General features: G+C 42.9%; 1 protein-coding gene across 4 annotated transcripts in view; it reads left to right on the top strand.

Moving 5' to 3' along the window:
- The window catches only part of RAB30 (RAB30, member RAS oncogene family), a 98765-nt gene that overhangs the window by 37378 nt on the left and 46052 nt on the right, over positions 1-15335 (top strand). The window contains exon 2 of one of the 4 annotated variants that reach the window (NM_014488.5): positions 248-348. The exons of 2 other annotated variants lie outside the window; for them this stretch is intronic. The gene's annotated coding sequence lies outside the window, so the exon portion shown is untranslated. Of the gene's footprint in view, positions 1-245; positions 349-15335 lie in introns of those variants that run through there. One more of the 4 variants, NM_001286059.2, reaches the window with a different exon arrangement.

Raw genomic sequence — 15335 nt, 5'->3', positions numbered from 1 at the left:
CAGGGTCCCTGGGTCCTGTTGCAGTTATCATATGCCTCACCTTTAACCTAAATGACTCTGCGAAGTGGCTGCTATGGAAGGATTTACTGAGTGCAAAATGGATTTTCTTCCCTGCTCTTTGGGGCAAAGCTGGCTCAGAGATTCTTAGCTGCAGGGGGAGGGGCTGGCAGGCCTGAACCGCAGTTGGACTTAGCAGCCAGGGGTTTTCTGGTTTTCATTAAAATTCTCTGGCTGTCTTTTGGGATAGCTCCATTGGATATGACTGTGCACTGGAGCCGGTTGTGCTGTTCTCTCAGCTGTACACACCCATCAAATCACAGTGCCCCTGAGGACGAGAGAAAATTGAAGGTAGGCAATAGCCTGGCTGAGGGCTCTTGCTCAGCAATCTTTGTGGTAAGTGGCCTCCGTTTATAACTGCAGAGCTTGAGTTTTGCAGTCTTAAATACAGATGGGGAGGCAGACATGGCTGAGCTGGGAATGGGTTGCAGAGAGAATCCTGTTACAGCTTGCTTTTGAGGATGGACTTGCTCTTGAGGACAGATGGAGGTTTCCTGGCAGCTGTCGAGGTCCCCAAGTGTTACATTAATGAAAATGGCCTGATCTGATTATTCTTTTTTGTTTTTGTTTGTTTGGTTTTTTTTTCATTTGATCTGATCATTCTTTGGAGGTACTTGATACCCTCATATGCCCAAGGGGCTTGAGGTTGGGTGATGCAGTTTTCTGAGGGTGACATGCTGAATTAAAGAGGATTGAGATTTTTATTTATTTATTATTGTTTTCTTAATTCCCAGTGTGGTAGCAGAGGATTCAGTTTTGAATGTTAATTTCTGGTGGCTGAAGGAATCTCACTTGAGACTGAAACTTGAGCCTGCAAACCTAGGTTCAAATCATAACTCTGTTATTAACTTGCCTTATGACCTTGGGCAAGTTACTTTCCTGGATTTCAGCTTCACAGTGTGGTTGTAGGGATTAAGTGAGATAAATTATGTAAAGCTCTTGGCATATCGAGTGTTCTCAACAAATGGGAGATGTTATTAGAAATTGGCCTAAATTTGACCTGTCACTCTAGCTTGCCAAGATATATTTTAATTCTGTAATATAAAACATTTGTTCCACATCCCTCCCAGCTTTGTGTCATTTAAGAACTTGAGGCAGGCCGGGCTCAGTGGCTGACACCTGTAATCCCAGCACTTTGGGAAGCCAAGGTGAGCAGATCACCTGAGGTCAGGAGTTCGAGACCAGCCTGACCAACATGGTGAAACCCCCGTCTCTACTAAAAATACAAAAATTAGCTGGGTGTGGTAGCATGTGCCTGTAATCCTAGCTACTCCGGAGGCTGAGGCAGGAGAATCACTTGAACCCGGAAAGCAGAGGTTGTAGTGAGCTGAGGTCATGCCGTTGCATTCCAGCCTGAGTGACAGAGCAAGACTCTGTCTCAAAAAAAAAAAAAAAAAAAAAAAAAAAGAATTTGAGGCAAACATGTTCCCTAGGGCAAGCTGAAACTCCTCTCCCTGGAAAAATACATCAAAACCATATTATTATGTTCCCCAGTGAGATGCTTAAGATGTCGGGTATTTCATATCTAGGTAACTTAGAAAAAATGGATTTTTCCTATCATTCTTGATAGATAGATTATGAGAAAGTCATTTTAATTAATATTGGGTATAAATGTTCCCTGATGTTACTCCCAAGAGAGCATGATTAAGGTTCCTATTTACCTTTAGAGTACACTCTTTTTCCATTCTTTTCTCCTTTTACTCTACTCTTCAAACCCTGTGTTCTAGCTATGGTGGACTGCTTACATAAAAATAATTAATGCGAAACATACAATGCATATGAAAGAATGTTTTAAATACATATTTACAGTTTAAAGAAGAACATAAAAATTGTGACCAGATGCAGTAGCACATGTTTGCAATTCCAGCTACTCAGGTGGCTGAGGTTGGAGGATTTCTTGAGGCCAGGAGTTCAAGACCAGCCTGGGCAAAATAGTGAGATGCTGTCTCAAAAAATAAAAGAAAGAAAATTGTGAATTTGCCATCCAATTTATCAGATGGAACATTATTTGTATCCTAGAAGCTGTTTGTCTACTCTCTGCCCTGAAATCATACCCCCTTTCCTCCTCACCAGACATAATGATTATCCTGACTTTTGTGTTCATCGTTCTCTTACTTTTCTGTACAGTTTAACCACCTGTGTTTGTATTACTAAAACAAATGTTGTTTTTTAAAAAACCAAGAAGCAAGCACAAACCTAGCAAGCTTTGTTACTGTTAGATCTAAACTCTGGGTCATAATATAGCTTTAGATTCCCAGGGGGTTTAAAAGGCTCTAATGGGGAAGTCAGTGGGCAAGGATGTGAGTGAGTCCTAGGAAATAAGGATCACTACTATTGAGACATCTGATAGGGTTGTAGTGTGGGCACACACTGGACATATGGAATATGGTCACAAAGAGTGGACGGCTCTGTCTTTTCTACTTCCAGTCTTTCTTTGGCGTCCTTTCAGCTCTCAAGGGGTAGGTCAAAGCAAAACTCTTCTGTAGGATGAAGTGAACGTCACCAACTAACCCAAACAAATAGTGTGGAGATGAGCAGGTGCTTCATCAGCACATGGTCAAGACAAATAGAGGCAGAAAAGAACCTCGACTAAGTTTACCTATGCATTTTTTGTCAGGTTAAAAAGAGAATATGCAGGCCAGGCCTGGTGGCTCACACTTGTAATCCCAGCACTTTGGGAGGCCAAGGCAGGCGGATCACCTGAAGTTGGGAGTTCGAGACCAGTCTGACCAACATGGAGAAACCCCATCTCTCCTAAAAATACAAAATTAGCCAGGTATGATGGCACATGCCTATAATCCCAGCTACTCTGGAGGCTGAGGCAGGAGAATCGCTTGAACCCGGGAAACGGAGGTTGCGGTGTGCCGAGATTGCACCATTGCACTCCAGCCTGGCCAAGAAGAGCAAAACTCCATCTCAAAAAAAAAAAAGAAAAAAAAAGAATACGCAGAACCACTTACGGAATATTCTTACCCAAATGTTGACTCCTAAAATCTCATCAAGTCTCTAGAGCTAACTTTAATATATTGGAAAGATGGGGGAAAGGATGACAAGTGGAATTACACTCTAAGGAAACAAACAGAGAAATTTAGAATGTAGAACATTCTGTCAGACAACTGACTTGGCTTCCGCAACAAGTCAATGACATGAAAAAAATAATAAAGTGACTTAAGAATTATAACCAGATGTCATGTGTGAACCTTGTTTTTATTCGGATAGTCTATGTGTTAGTTTGCTAGGCCTGCCATAACAAAATACCACACACTGGGTGGCTTAAGCAACAGAAATTAGTATTTTCACAGTTCTGGAGGCTAGGAGTCCAAGATCAAGGTGCTGGCAGGATTGGTTTCCTCTGAGGCCTCTCTCCTTGGCTTGCAGATGGCTGCCCTCTTTCCACCTCCTTGCATGGTCATTTCTCTATATATGCACACTCCCAGTGTCCTGCTACGTGTCCTATTCTCCTCTTTCTATAAGGACACCAGTTAGATTGGATTAGGGCCCACCCTAACAATCTCATTTTAACTTAATTACCTCTTTAATGGCTCTATCTCCAAATACATGAACAGTCACATTCTAAGGTACTGGGAATTAGGGCTTCAACATATGTATGAACTTGTGGGGGGACATAATTTAGTTTAATTGCAAAGAGACTTTTTTTTTTTTTTTGAGGTGGAGTCTTGCTGTGTTGCCCAGGCTGAAGTGCAATGGCACGATCTCAGCTCACTGCAACCTCTGCCTCCCGGGTTCAAGCAATTCTCCTGCCTCAGCCTCCTGAGTAGCTGGGATTACAGGTGCGTGCCACCATGCCTAGCTAACTTTTGTTTTTTAGTGGAGATGGGGTTTCACCATGTTGGCCAGGCTAGTTTCGAACTCCTAGCCTCAGGTGTTCTGCCCACTTCGGCCTCCTAAAGTGCTGGGATTATAGGGGTGAGCTACCACACGCAGCCAAAAAAAGACTTTTTTTTGAGACAGGGTCTTGCTTTGTTTCTCAGGCTGGAGTACAGTGGCATGAACACGGCTCAACATAGCCTTGACCTCCTGAGATCAAGCAGTCCTCCCACCTCAGGCTCCCAAGAAGCTGGGACTACAGGCATATACCACCACACCCAACTAATTTTTTTTTTTTTTTGAAGAGATGCGGTCTCACCATGTTACCCAGGCTGCTCTTGAACTCCTGGTCTCAAGCGATCCTCCTGCTTTGGCCTCCCAAAATGCTGGGATTATAAGCATGAGCCACCACACCTGGCATTGAAAAGACATTAAAAAAATTTTTTTAAATGGCTTTTGGGTTATAAGTGGTTTTTGGTTACATGGATAAATTCTACAGTGGTGAATTCTGAGATTTTAGTGCACCTGTCAACCAAACAGTGTACACCCTACTCAGTATGTAGTCTTTTATCCCTCACTCCCCTTGCCCACTCCTTCCCCAGGTCACAAATTTCATTATATTGCTCTGTATTGTTTTTGTGTCCTCACAGCTTAGTTCCCACTTAAGTAAGAAAACAAGGTATCTGGTTTTCCATTCCTGAGTTACTTCACTTAGAATAATGGCTTCCAGCTCAATCCAAGTTGCTGCAAAAGACATTATTCTATTCCTTTTTATGGCTGAGTAGTATTCTATGGTGGATATATACCACATTTTCTTTATCCACTCATTGGTTGATGGGCACTTAGGTCGGTTCCATATCTTTGCAATTGTGAATTGTGCTGCTACAAGTATGCATGTAGATGTGTGTAAAAAGAAATTTTTGAGATGATATCAAGGAATTACTGTTACTTTTATTCAGGTGTGATAATAATAGTATAATGTAAGAAGATGAATAATATAGAGATGAGTTCTGAGGTACATAGGAATAAAATGATATGATGTAGAATTTGTTTAAAAATATTTAAACAGCCTGGATGCTAAGGTTCATACCTGTAATCCCAGCACTTTGGGAGACTGAGGCAGGTGGTTTGCTGCATCCCAGAGGTTGAGGCTGCAGTGAGCCATGATGACACCACTGCACTCCAGCCTGGGCAACAGAGCGAGACCCTGTCTCAAAATAATAATAATAATAATAATAAAATATTTAAGCAAAGAAAAAAATAGGGGGGGAAAGGGATAGATTAAGTTAACGTGTCAAAATCTTGGTAAGTGTTGAACTTTGGTAATGGGTGTTGGGGGGTCTGCTTTTATGTATATTTGAAAACTTTATAATCATATATTTAAAATATTTGAACACAACACAAAAGAGGGTTTAATGGCAGTGGGGTTGTTGGTGATGGCTGTCTTCAATGTGTCTGTCTCTTGAGTTATACTTCTTTATTCTGGTTGGCTACTTCCTGTGGTAGTCATGTTGGCGTCCTCTGTTGCTTGTCTTTGGACTAGATCTCTTGATGTTTCTTTTATACCACTTAGTGAAGGACATCCTCCAGGAGCTTTTTTTTGTTTGTTTTTGAGAAAGGGTCTCACTCAGTTGCCCAGGCTGGAGTGCAGTGAAGTGAAACAGCTCATTGTAGCCTCGAACTCTTGGGCTCAAGTGATCCTCTCAAGTACCTGGGACCACAGGTGCATGCCACCATGCCTGGCTAACTTTTTCACTTTTTGTGGAGATAGGGTCTCGCCATGTTGGTCAGGCTGCTCCCAAACTGCTGCGCTTAAGCAATCTTGCTGTCTTAGCCTCCCAAAGTAGGAGCTTCTTATAAAACGGTGCATGGAATATGAATTTCTGGGTCTTGTATACTTTAAAGTATCTTTCTTCTATTCTCGTGCTTTATTGGTAGTTTATTTGGGTATTGCACTCTAAGTTGAAAATCATTTTCCTTCAGATTTTAAAGGCATTGCTTTATTGTCTTTTTATTGTTGCTGTAGAGAAGTTGGAAGGGTTCTGATTTCTGATTCTTTATATATAACCTATTTGTCTTTCCCTCCTCTCTGACAGTTTGTAAAATCTTCTCTTTGTCTGCAGTTTTCTGAAGTTTCACAGTGTGCTTCGTGTGCTGGGCCCTTTCAACCTGGCAACCTGCATCCTTCAGTTCTCTGAAATTTTATTGAATATATTGTTATGATTTTTCTTTTTTCTGCTCTTTCCTGGGAATTTCTCTTATTTGGATATAGGACCCCTCCTGTACTGGACCTTTAGAATATTCTTAACTTCTCTCTGCTGTTTCCATATCTTTGTCTTTTGATTTTATTCTTTAGAAGATTTCGATTTTATCATTCAATCCTTTTATTGAAGATTTAAAAAAAGTCTGCTATTATGTTGTCAATGTCTAAGAGCTCTTTTTGTTCTCTATGTTTCCTTTATATAGCATCCTATTTTTGTTTCATGGATGTAGTTTTATTTCATTTTTGTGAGAATATTAATGGTATTTCCGCCCTTGCATATTATCTGTTTCCTTCAAGTCACTTTTTTTTGTGTTTGCCATGGTCTGTATCTTTATTAGAGGCTTTCCCAAGATGTCACTCTAAAATGTGATCCTTGGCTGTGTTGCTCCTGATTAAGAGGGGGAGGAAAAAAGCTGTCAAGACCTTGACATTATGCTAAGTGAAAGAAGTCACTCACAAAAGACCACAGAGTGTAGGATTTCATTTATATGAAATGGCCAGAATGGACAAATCTATACAGACAAAAAAATAGATTAGTAGTTACTTGCGGCTGGGGAGTGGGGGGAATGCAGAGTGACTACTAATGTGTGTAGGATTTTCATTGGGGGAATGGAAAATGTTCTAAAATTGATTGTGGTGATGGTTGTACAACTCTGTAAATATGCTAAAAACCATTGAAATGTACATTTTATTTTTTTTCATTTAGTTCCTAGAGAAAATTGCATATTTTAAAAGGGTGAATTATATGGTATGTGACATAAAGCTTTTTTTAAAAAGTACTGTCAGGAAACTCTGAATACAGAATGGAGATAATTAGCTCTGAGCCTCACGGTACGGTGATCTGGATGGGCTGTTTGTTGGGCTCCCCTGATGTTACCATCTTCAGGTTTTCCCTTGGGTACATTCACCAGCAAAGAGTCTTTCACTCTTCTTCGGATGGTGGGGTTCTATCTGACTATGTTTTGGTACTCGGGAGAAGAAACATGGGAACCTTTGCACTCTACCTTCTGTAGACATAGTGCCTTATCTGTGATATGTTTCCCCCTCATCCACGCTGGATACTGCCAGGCCAAAGACACTCTTACTTTTTTTTTATGGGGAATGCTAAAGATTTACAAAAGTAGGGAGGGCAATACAGTGAATTCCCATGTACCCATCATTCAGGTTCACTAGTTTTCACTTGATGGATATTTTAGTTTGCTTTGTATCCCGCAATCCCCTTCCTCAGATTATTTCAAGCAAATGCTGGATATTTCTGTTTTGTGCTCCCCAGAGACAGGCCTTTGGAGTTTTGTTAATGAGGAGGGGGAATCTAGGTATCTAACTCCTTGAGTAGCCTTCTCTCTTGTGTTCTTTATTCTAGCATCCTATACGCCTGCTCTAGGAGTACAAGGTACTGTCAGTTCCTGTGTTTTTTAAGGATTCTGTGGTTTAAATCAGCTGAATTCCACATTTTCTGAGTATGCTAAGTCAATTACTACTTGTTCATCTGCTTCCCAAGCTTCCAAAATTTGACACCATTGTCTTATCTTCTCTGTACTTATAAGGTTTTTTTTAATAAAAATAAAGCACTTTACTGAATTTTTGTGGGGTTTTTGGAATAAGTGAAATTAGATGCAGTAGTTCAGTGTGACACCTTCTCCAGATTGGCTGCTCTTTTTTTTCTTTTCAATCTTGCCCTATCCTATTGTTAGTCCATTTTTGCATTACTACAAAGAAATACTTGAAGCTGGGAAAATTATAAAGAAAGGAAATCTAACTGGCTCACAGTTTTACAGGCTTTACAGGAAGCATGGTGCTGGCCTCTGCTTCTGGTGAGACCTCAGAAAGCTTACAGTCATGACAGAAGGTGACCGGGAGCCAGAATGTTACATGTGAGAGTGGAAACAAGAGAGAGTGAGGACAGAGGTGCCGTACTCTTAACCAGATCTCACATGAACTACCGGAGCCAGAATTCACTCATCACCAAGGGGATGGTGCTAACCATTCATGATGGATCTATCCCATGATCCAAACACCTCACACTAGGCCACACCTCCAACACTGAGAATTACATTTCAACATGAGATTTGAAGGGGACAGATATCCAAATCATATCACGTATCCTATTCTACTCAGCCCTATGGCCTTATTTTTTTTTATGTATGTGTGTATGTGTATCTATATCTATGTCTTTTTTTTGAGACAGGGTCTTGCTGTGTAGCCTAGGTGGGAGTGCAGTGGCATGATCAGAGGTCACTGTGGCCTCAACCTCCCAGGCTCAAGTGATCCTCCCATCTCAGTCTCCCTTGTAGCTAGGGCTATAGGTACACACCACCACATCTGGCTAATTTTTTAATTTTCTTGAAGAGATGGGGGTCTCACTATGTTTCCTAGGCTGGTCTCAAACTCCTGGGCTCAAGCAATCCTCCCACCTTGGCTTCCCAAAGTGCTGGGATTATAGATGTGAGTCACCATGCCTGGCCTTGTATCTATATCTATATCATCTATCTATATCTGTTTATCTATACCTATGTATATATTTTATTTGCCTGGAAAACTCCTTTTCAATTTTTTAAGAACAAAGAGGAGTTTTTCCTTATTTTAACATGCTTCTCTTTTGACCTTAAGCCCAGGCAAAGGTAAGGAGTCCCAGCTTCTGTGTACTCCCCTCTTATTATAGAAGTGTTTGCTTGCACTTTGCTGCATTACAGTTTATTTACCTATCTGTCCTGGCTTGTGAAGTAACAGCTATACGTTATTTTTCTTTGTATCATGAGCACAGTGCCTCACTCCCAGTAAACATGTTAACTCTCAGACTGGATAATTCAGCATTGTAATTTCAGGAGTGGGGATGAGCTGCAGTGCCCCTTTCCTTCTTGTCTTTTACAAGCACAACTGTTTGGTAAATATAAAGGAGCAAAACATGCCCTGAGGGCTTGTTGTTATGCAATGTTGTTCCCTTTGCTTTCAAGTCTGGTGTTTTTTACACAGTCAGCAGGTTGCAGAGGGAGTGAGGGCAGCTATAACAGTGTAAACATCCTAACAAAGAATGAATGGACTCAGTCAGAGATGTGTTGTTTCCTTCGTTTGATTAAAAGGCTTATGGTCTACACTGTGCTTCACAATGAGAAACTTCTTAGTTCTGCAGCATCTTCCATTGCTTTTTCTCTTCTGATAAAATGTCAGGAGAATTTTAAAAAATTGCTGATTTTGTTGTTAAAAAATCAGATATGAAGGTATTATCAATGTGAAGTCCTGGTAAAATGCAAATGGATAGCTTTGAAAGGGTAACATTTAACCTGTTGTTTCTTAAAGTGTGTTCTCCAAGTTGCTATACATCTTCCTCCAGGGGAAAAGAAATAGGGAACTTACTAGCGTTCAAACAAACTTGGGATGCTCGGTTAAACGGAGTTAAATAGGGTTTCCTACTTCAAGACACCTCAGATCTTGAAAGATGCTATAACTCTCTCCTCCAGGAGGAAAGAAATAGGGAATTAACTAGTAGTCAAACAAACTTGGGATGCTGAGTTCAACACAGTTAAGTAGGGTTCTTTACTTCACGCTTGTTACTGTGCATTGCAGATCTCCTAGAGGGGTACATCGTAGGCAGCATTTTCTAAATTTACTTTTCATCTGAGTAACAGTAGCATTTCAGTGTTGTGTTTTGTGGAACACACACAATTCTGGAAACAGCCTCTTAGCTTAAATCCATCCTTTGTGGTCTTGTTCAAATGCCACTTCCTCTAAGGCTTTTCTGTCTACCCCCAGAGATATACAATGTTTTCCTTCTTTGAATTGTACTGCCTTCACTTGTCTAATTGTCTCCTCACCCTTCCCCTACCCTATAAGAGGTCATACATTTTTTGTACATGTTATATCACTTTCCACTGCATCAGGGACATTGCCTTCCATAAAACTGCTCAAGAAATGTTTGCAGTACTGCATTGGTTCCTTAGTTGAGTCATCCTAGAGTCCAGAGGGCACTGGCAGGGTGGGGAAGCCTGAGGCAGATCTGGAGTTTGAGACCCTCACTATTTTGGCATGTAGATGGGTGGGGAGCTTGCTCGCTGTGTCCTTGCTGGACACAGGGCCAGTGTAAGAAGTTGGTCCTGAAGGGCAGAATTGGAAAGCGAAAAACAAGAGATGCTGACCTTATAAATCAAATGTGCTGAAGGCCTATTGTATGCCTGTGGTAAGCTTTGAATACTTAAACTTAACGCTAACCTTTCAAGTTGGTGATATTCTTCTGATTCTCTAGATGAGAAAATGGGGCATCAGAAAGGCAAAGCAGAAGTAAGTACTGGGGCTGCAAAGATGAATAAAATCCAGTCCTTCCCCAAGAGGCCCCGGGATATGGAGTAGATAGTCTTATAAGTAAATAATTGTGAGCAGTGGGGTAACTGCACGGATTAAACTCTGTCGAGGTATTGTGGGAGAACCAAATAGGAGACTCTGACCTCTGTATGGGAGATGGGAGGGAAGGCATGGCAGGTGGTGAATCCAAGAAAGCTTTCAGAAGGAGAGTGATGCCTGAGCAAGGTGGAATAAGAATGCATGGGCTGAAGCATGGAGGTGAGACGTATCACGGGGAATTCACTGTTACTGGGCTATAAAATGTGAGTTTGGTGAGAATTGAGGCTGGCAAAATTGAGAGGATATTATAAACAGATTGAAGAGTTCTGGACTTGATTTTGAAATGGGAAGCCATTGTAGGGTTTTCAGTAGAAGAGCAATGAGCCAGCACGTGTTTTGGATATGTATTAGCCAAGGTGGAAGTGAATCTGAGCTGGGTAGGACCTGAGGCAGGGCCATCAGCTGGGGCTCTCAGCACTGGTGCAGGGGAGATAGGATGAAGTCTGACCCACGGCAGTAGCACGAGTAGAAGAGAGGAGGAGACTGGTTTGATAAATATTCAGCAGGTAAATCAGCAAGACAGGAGCAGACAAGAGTCAAGTACAACCCTCAGGCTTTGTGCTTGTGCATGCCTCTTCTTCCCTTAACCAACATTTCAAGTCTGCCCTTATCTGAGCGCTGACCTTAAGCAAATCCTATGTGAAATGTAGGTTTATGAACAATTAATTAGGAGACAGTGTTTTATGGGGAGATTGTGACATGAGATTTCTTTAAATACTATTGCTTTCAGAGCATTTATATGTTGTGTATCTCAGAATTCTTATTTTTCTAACTTCAGGAACAAATCTATTGGGTAAAGCAGTGGTTCCCAAGCTAGATTATCACCAGAATCAACTGAGAATATTTTCCCCCAACTATTAGAAAAATTTTAATCATACTGAGAATTTGAAAGAGTAACAAATTGAACACCCAAATACCCACCAACTAAATTAAACAATTGTTAACATTTTGTCTTATTTCTCATGTTTGTGTGTATGTGTATATATACATATATATATATACACATACATACATATGCATATATACATATATGCTGGACCATTTGAAAGTTGCAAATGTTATAACACTTCACCTGAAACTCTCATTTCAGCATGTGTATTCTAAGAATAAAGACATTTGATACAACATAAAATTGTATCTAAAACAAAAAACAAAATGATCATCTGATATCAGGCCATGTTCATATTTCCCCAGTTGTGACCAGGGGGTATTTTTACTTCATTATTATTATTTTTTAAATTGCCCATTACTAATGAAAGAAACATTTTGTAGTATTCTAGATTTCACTTCTGATTCTGGTCAGTTATTCTTTTTTTTATTTAAAAGTTGTCTTTATTTTAAAATTATAAAATAAAGGATACTTATTTAAAAATTCAAGCAATGCAAAAATATCTAATAAAAATACTAAAGTAAAAATTGGAAGACCTTTCTCCATTATTGGAAGTTAATGGAACAGACTTTCTTAATCAGAATATCTAGGGAAGGGATCTAGCAGTTTTATTTTTAAGAAGCTCTTTGGACCAAGTGCGGTGGCTCACACCTGTAATACCAACACTTTGGGAAGCTGAGGCAGGAGGATCACTTGAGGCCAGGAGTTCAAGACCAGCCTGGGCAATATAGTGAGACCATGTCTCCAGAAAAATTTAAAAATTAGCTGAGTGTGGTGGCATGTGCTTGTAGTCCCAGCTACAAGGGAGGCTGAGGTGGGACAATCACCTGAGCCTGGCAGGTCCAGGCTTCACTGGCCATGTGATCGTGCTACTGGATTCCAGCCTGAGCAACAGAGCAAGGCCCTGTTCCCTATCTCTCCCACCCCTTCACCCCCACCCCTAATAAGAAGAAGCTCTTTGGATGAGTTTAATGCAGTTCAACTGGTACCAGCATTTAGGAAACACTGGTCTATTGTCAGGCATACGTACAGCCGTGATTTTCACTTGTGATCAAACCAAGAAGTACTTAATTAAGTGCCTATGATGCATTGAGCTATGTTCTAGGAATGTGGATGATCTAATGAAATACATAAAATATATGATCTGTCTTCAAGAACATCTTGTTGGAGAGATAAAACTGACATTCACAAAGTCATTAGGAGGAAGGGAATTAATATTTATAGAGCACTTCCTATAGGCCAGGTACTGTGACAGATGCTTTACAAAAATATCTCATTTAAATCTCACAACAGCCCTTGAGGTAGTGACATGGGATCTTTGGGGCGTTGCTTTTCTGGCTGGAAACCTGTGGCCGGTGGCGCCTTTGCCCTAGTTTTGCTCAGGCCTTCTGGGCTTGTTCCGCCCACTCGGCCTGGCAGGCTGTGCTCAGCTCATGCTACCGGGCTGGATCCCATGCCTCCAAGGGAGACTGGAGTCAGGCGTGGAGCAGAGAGAGGTGTGTGAGTGAGCATGGAGTCTGGCCTCTGCACAGCCAGACATCCCAGCTGCTGCTGCCGGGCGGGCAGCTCAAGGTGCTTGCATGGGCGCTAGCTCTCTGTGAGGCTGCAGCTGGACCAGGTGCGCCGCAAGCAGCTTTCCCAGCTGGCACTGGGGAATGAGGTGGTGCCTGGAAGCTTGGAGGCACCAGGAACCACAGGGCCCAGAAGAGGGAGTCACAGCCCTGGATCAGGGAGCTCCCAGGTCTGGGCTTCCTGGAGGGCCACAGCTCGTCTCTCCTCTTCACTCATAACCTGGTGAGCAAGGGACATGTTTCAATCCTGTTTGTGTTACAGCAACTCTTTTAGCCTCACCATTCAGTGAGTCTCAAGTTCTTGTCCTATGACCAGGAAGAATGAGGTACACAGACAGGCGGAAGGGTAAGCAAGACAGAGAGGAGCTTTATTGAGCAATACAACAGCTCAGAGAAGACCCGCAGTGAGCAGCTCCTCTCCATGGCCAGGATGTCCTGATGAGTGTTTAACTCCTAGCGGAGAGGATAGCTCCTCTCCGCAGGCAGGTTGTCCCAACAAGTGTTCAGTTCTCAGCAGAGAGGGTAGCTCCTGCTATCAGCAGAGAAGGTAACTCCTCTCTGCAGCTGGTCATCCTGTCATCTGCAGCTCTTGGCAGAGAGGAAGTGGCTCCTCTCTGCGGGCAGGTCATCCCATTGTCTGCAGCTCTCAGCAGAGAGGAGGCCATAAAGTGAGTGGCTCCACTCTACAAGCAGGTTGTCCCATTGTCTGCAGCTCTCAGCAGAGAAGGTAGCTCCTCTCTACAACTGGTTGTCCCATCCTCCCTCTGTTCCGTGGTCTGACTGAGCCCAGGGCTTTTATGGGTCTTAGAGGGGAAGAAGTGCATGCAATTGGTCCATGGGTGGCCATGGGCAGGCTGAAAAAGGCACCACAAATCGCCACCCTGGTTTGTGGGACTCACAGCCCAGCTCCCAGGCTTCAGGCTCCCCTGGCCTGAAGGTGGGGTCTCAACAGGGACTCGCCCCCTTCTGTCCAGGAGCTTGTCTGCCTCCTGCCTCAGTTGTGGCAACAGGCATAACAGGCTGCTCGTGCCAATGGGCAAGTGCAGGCCAGCGCAGAGCCGCCCTCAGCCCCCACCTTGGCTTTTTCCCATGTTTGTTGGTGCCTAAAGTCCGGAGGGGGCTGAGGCAACAGAGTCCTAGCATGAGCACACCCAGCCAGGCTGTGACAGTGCCCGAGCTTGGCCCCAACCCTGCTCTGAGATTAGAGCAGGCATAAGGAGTGGGGGAGAGGCCAGGCAGTGGGAGCAGGCACCTCTGAGCCTGCACAGGCAAGCGGGGGCCTTCCTGGACCCCCAAGAGTACAGGGATACCTGGGTCTGCAGCCGTGGTTTGAGTGGCTGTAGCTGTGCCCGAGAGGGTGGGGCTTCTACCTGCTCCGTGGAGTGGGAGGCCTGGGTCTGCAGCCATGGTTTGTGTAGCTGCAGTGGCACCTGGGTAGCTCCCTCCCCAGTTCAGAAGGGGTGGAGCTCCTGCTTGTCCCTGGCTCTCGCCAGCTCCATGGAACATGCAGTCCTGGCCACGCCTTCCAGCTGTAGCCAGCATGATGGCAGTGGCTGCTCCAGACAGCTCACCACTGTCATCAGTAGGCAGTATTATTCACATTTTCTAGTTAGGGGAACTGAGTCTCAGGGAATGACTTGCCCAAAGTCATTCGGCCTGTAAGAGATGGAACAGAGCCATAATTTTAACCCAAATCTATCTGAATCATTCCATTAAGCTACCTCTCGTGGTAACAATAGCCAACAATTGTATTGAATTTCGTACTGAAAAAAAGTACTCTTGCTCCCACTCTGATATTTGAATCAGAGAATGATTATAAGACCAAATATGATCAAGAGCTAAATTTGTGTGTACTAGTAACTTAGTGTTCTAAAGGTTCAGAGATGGAGAGATGAGGGAGGACTTCGTGGGGGAGATGGCATGTCTGCTGCCCTGAAGGAAGAAGCAAACTGGAACAGTTAATGGGAAGCTAGGTGAGAGAAAGACGGGGCAGGGGAGTGGGGGTTTGTGTTGCCACATGGTAAAACAGGGTAGGCATAGAAAACAGGTGACAAGAGGCCACTTCCTAGCCACTTGCTTCCTGAGATAGCCAGGCAAAAGGGAAAGAAACAAAATGACCTGTACCTTAATTTCCATCTTCACTTTTGCTGAACATAAATACATAGTTGTTATTTTTTAAAAAAAACCTTTTGGCCTGGTGTGGTGGCTCATGCCTGTAATCCCAGCACTTTGGGAGGCTGAGGTAGACGGATCACTTGAGGTCAGGAGTTCGAGACCAGCCTGGCCAATGGGCAAAACCCCCATCTCTACTAAAAATACAAAAATTACTGGG

The sequence above is a fragment of the Homo sapiens genome, chromosome 11 (assembly GCF_000001405.40).
Source record: "Homo sapiens chromosome 11, GRCh38.p14 Primary Assembly".
Classification (NCBI taxonomy): Eukaryota; Metazoa; Chordata; class Mammalia; order Primates; family Hominidae; genus Homo; species Homo sapiens.
The sequence above is the reverse complement of the archived record's forward strand: the minus strand, read 5'-3'. Positions and strand labels throughout refer to the sequence as shown.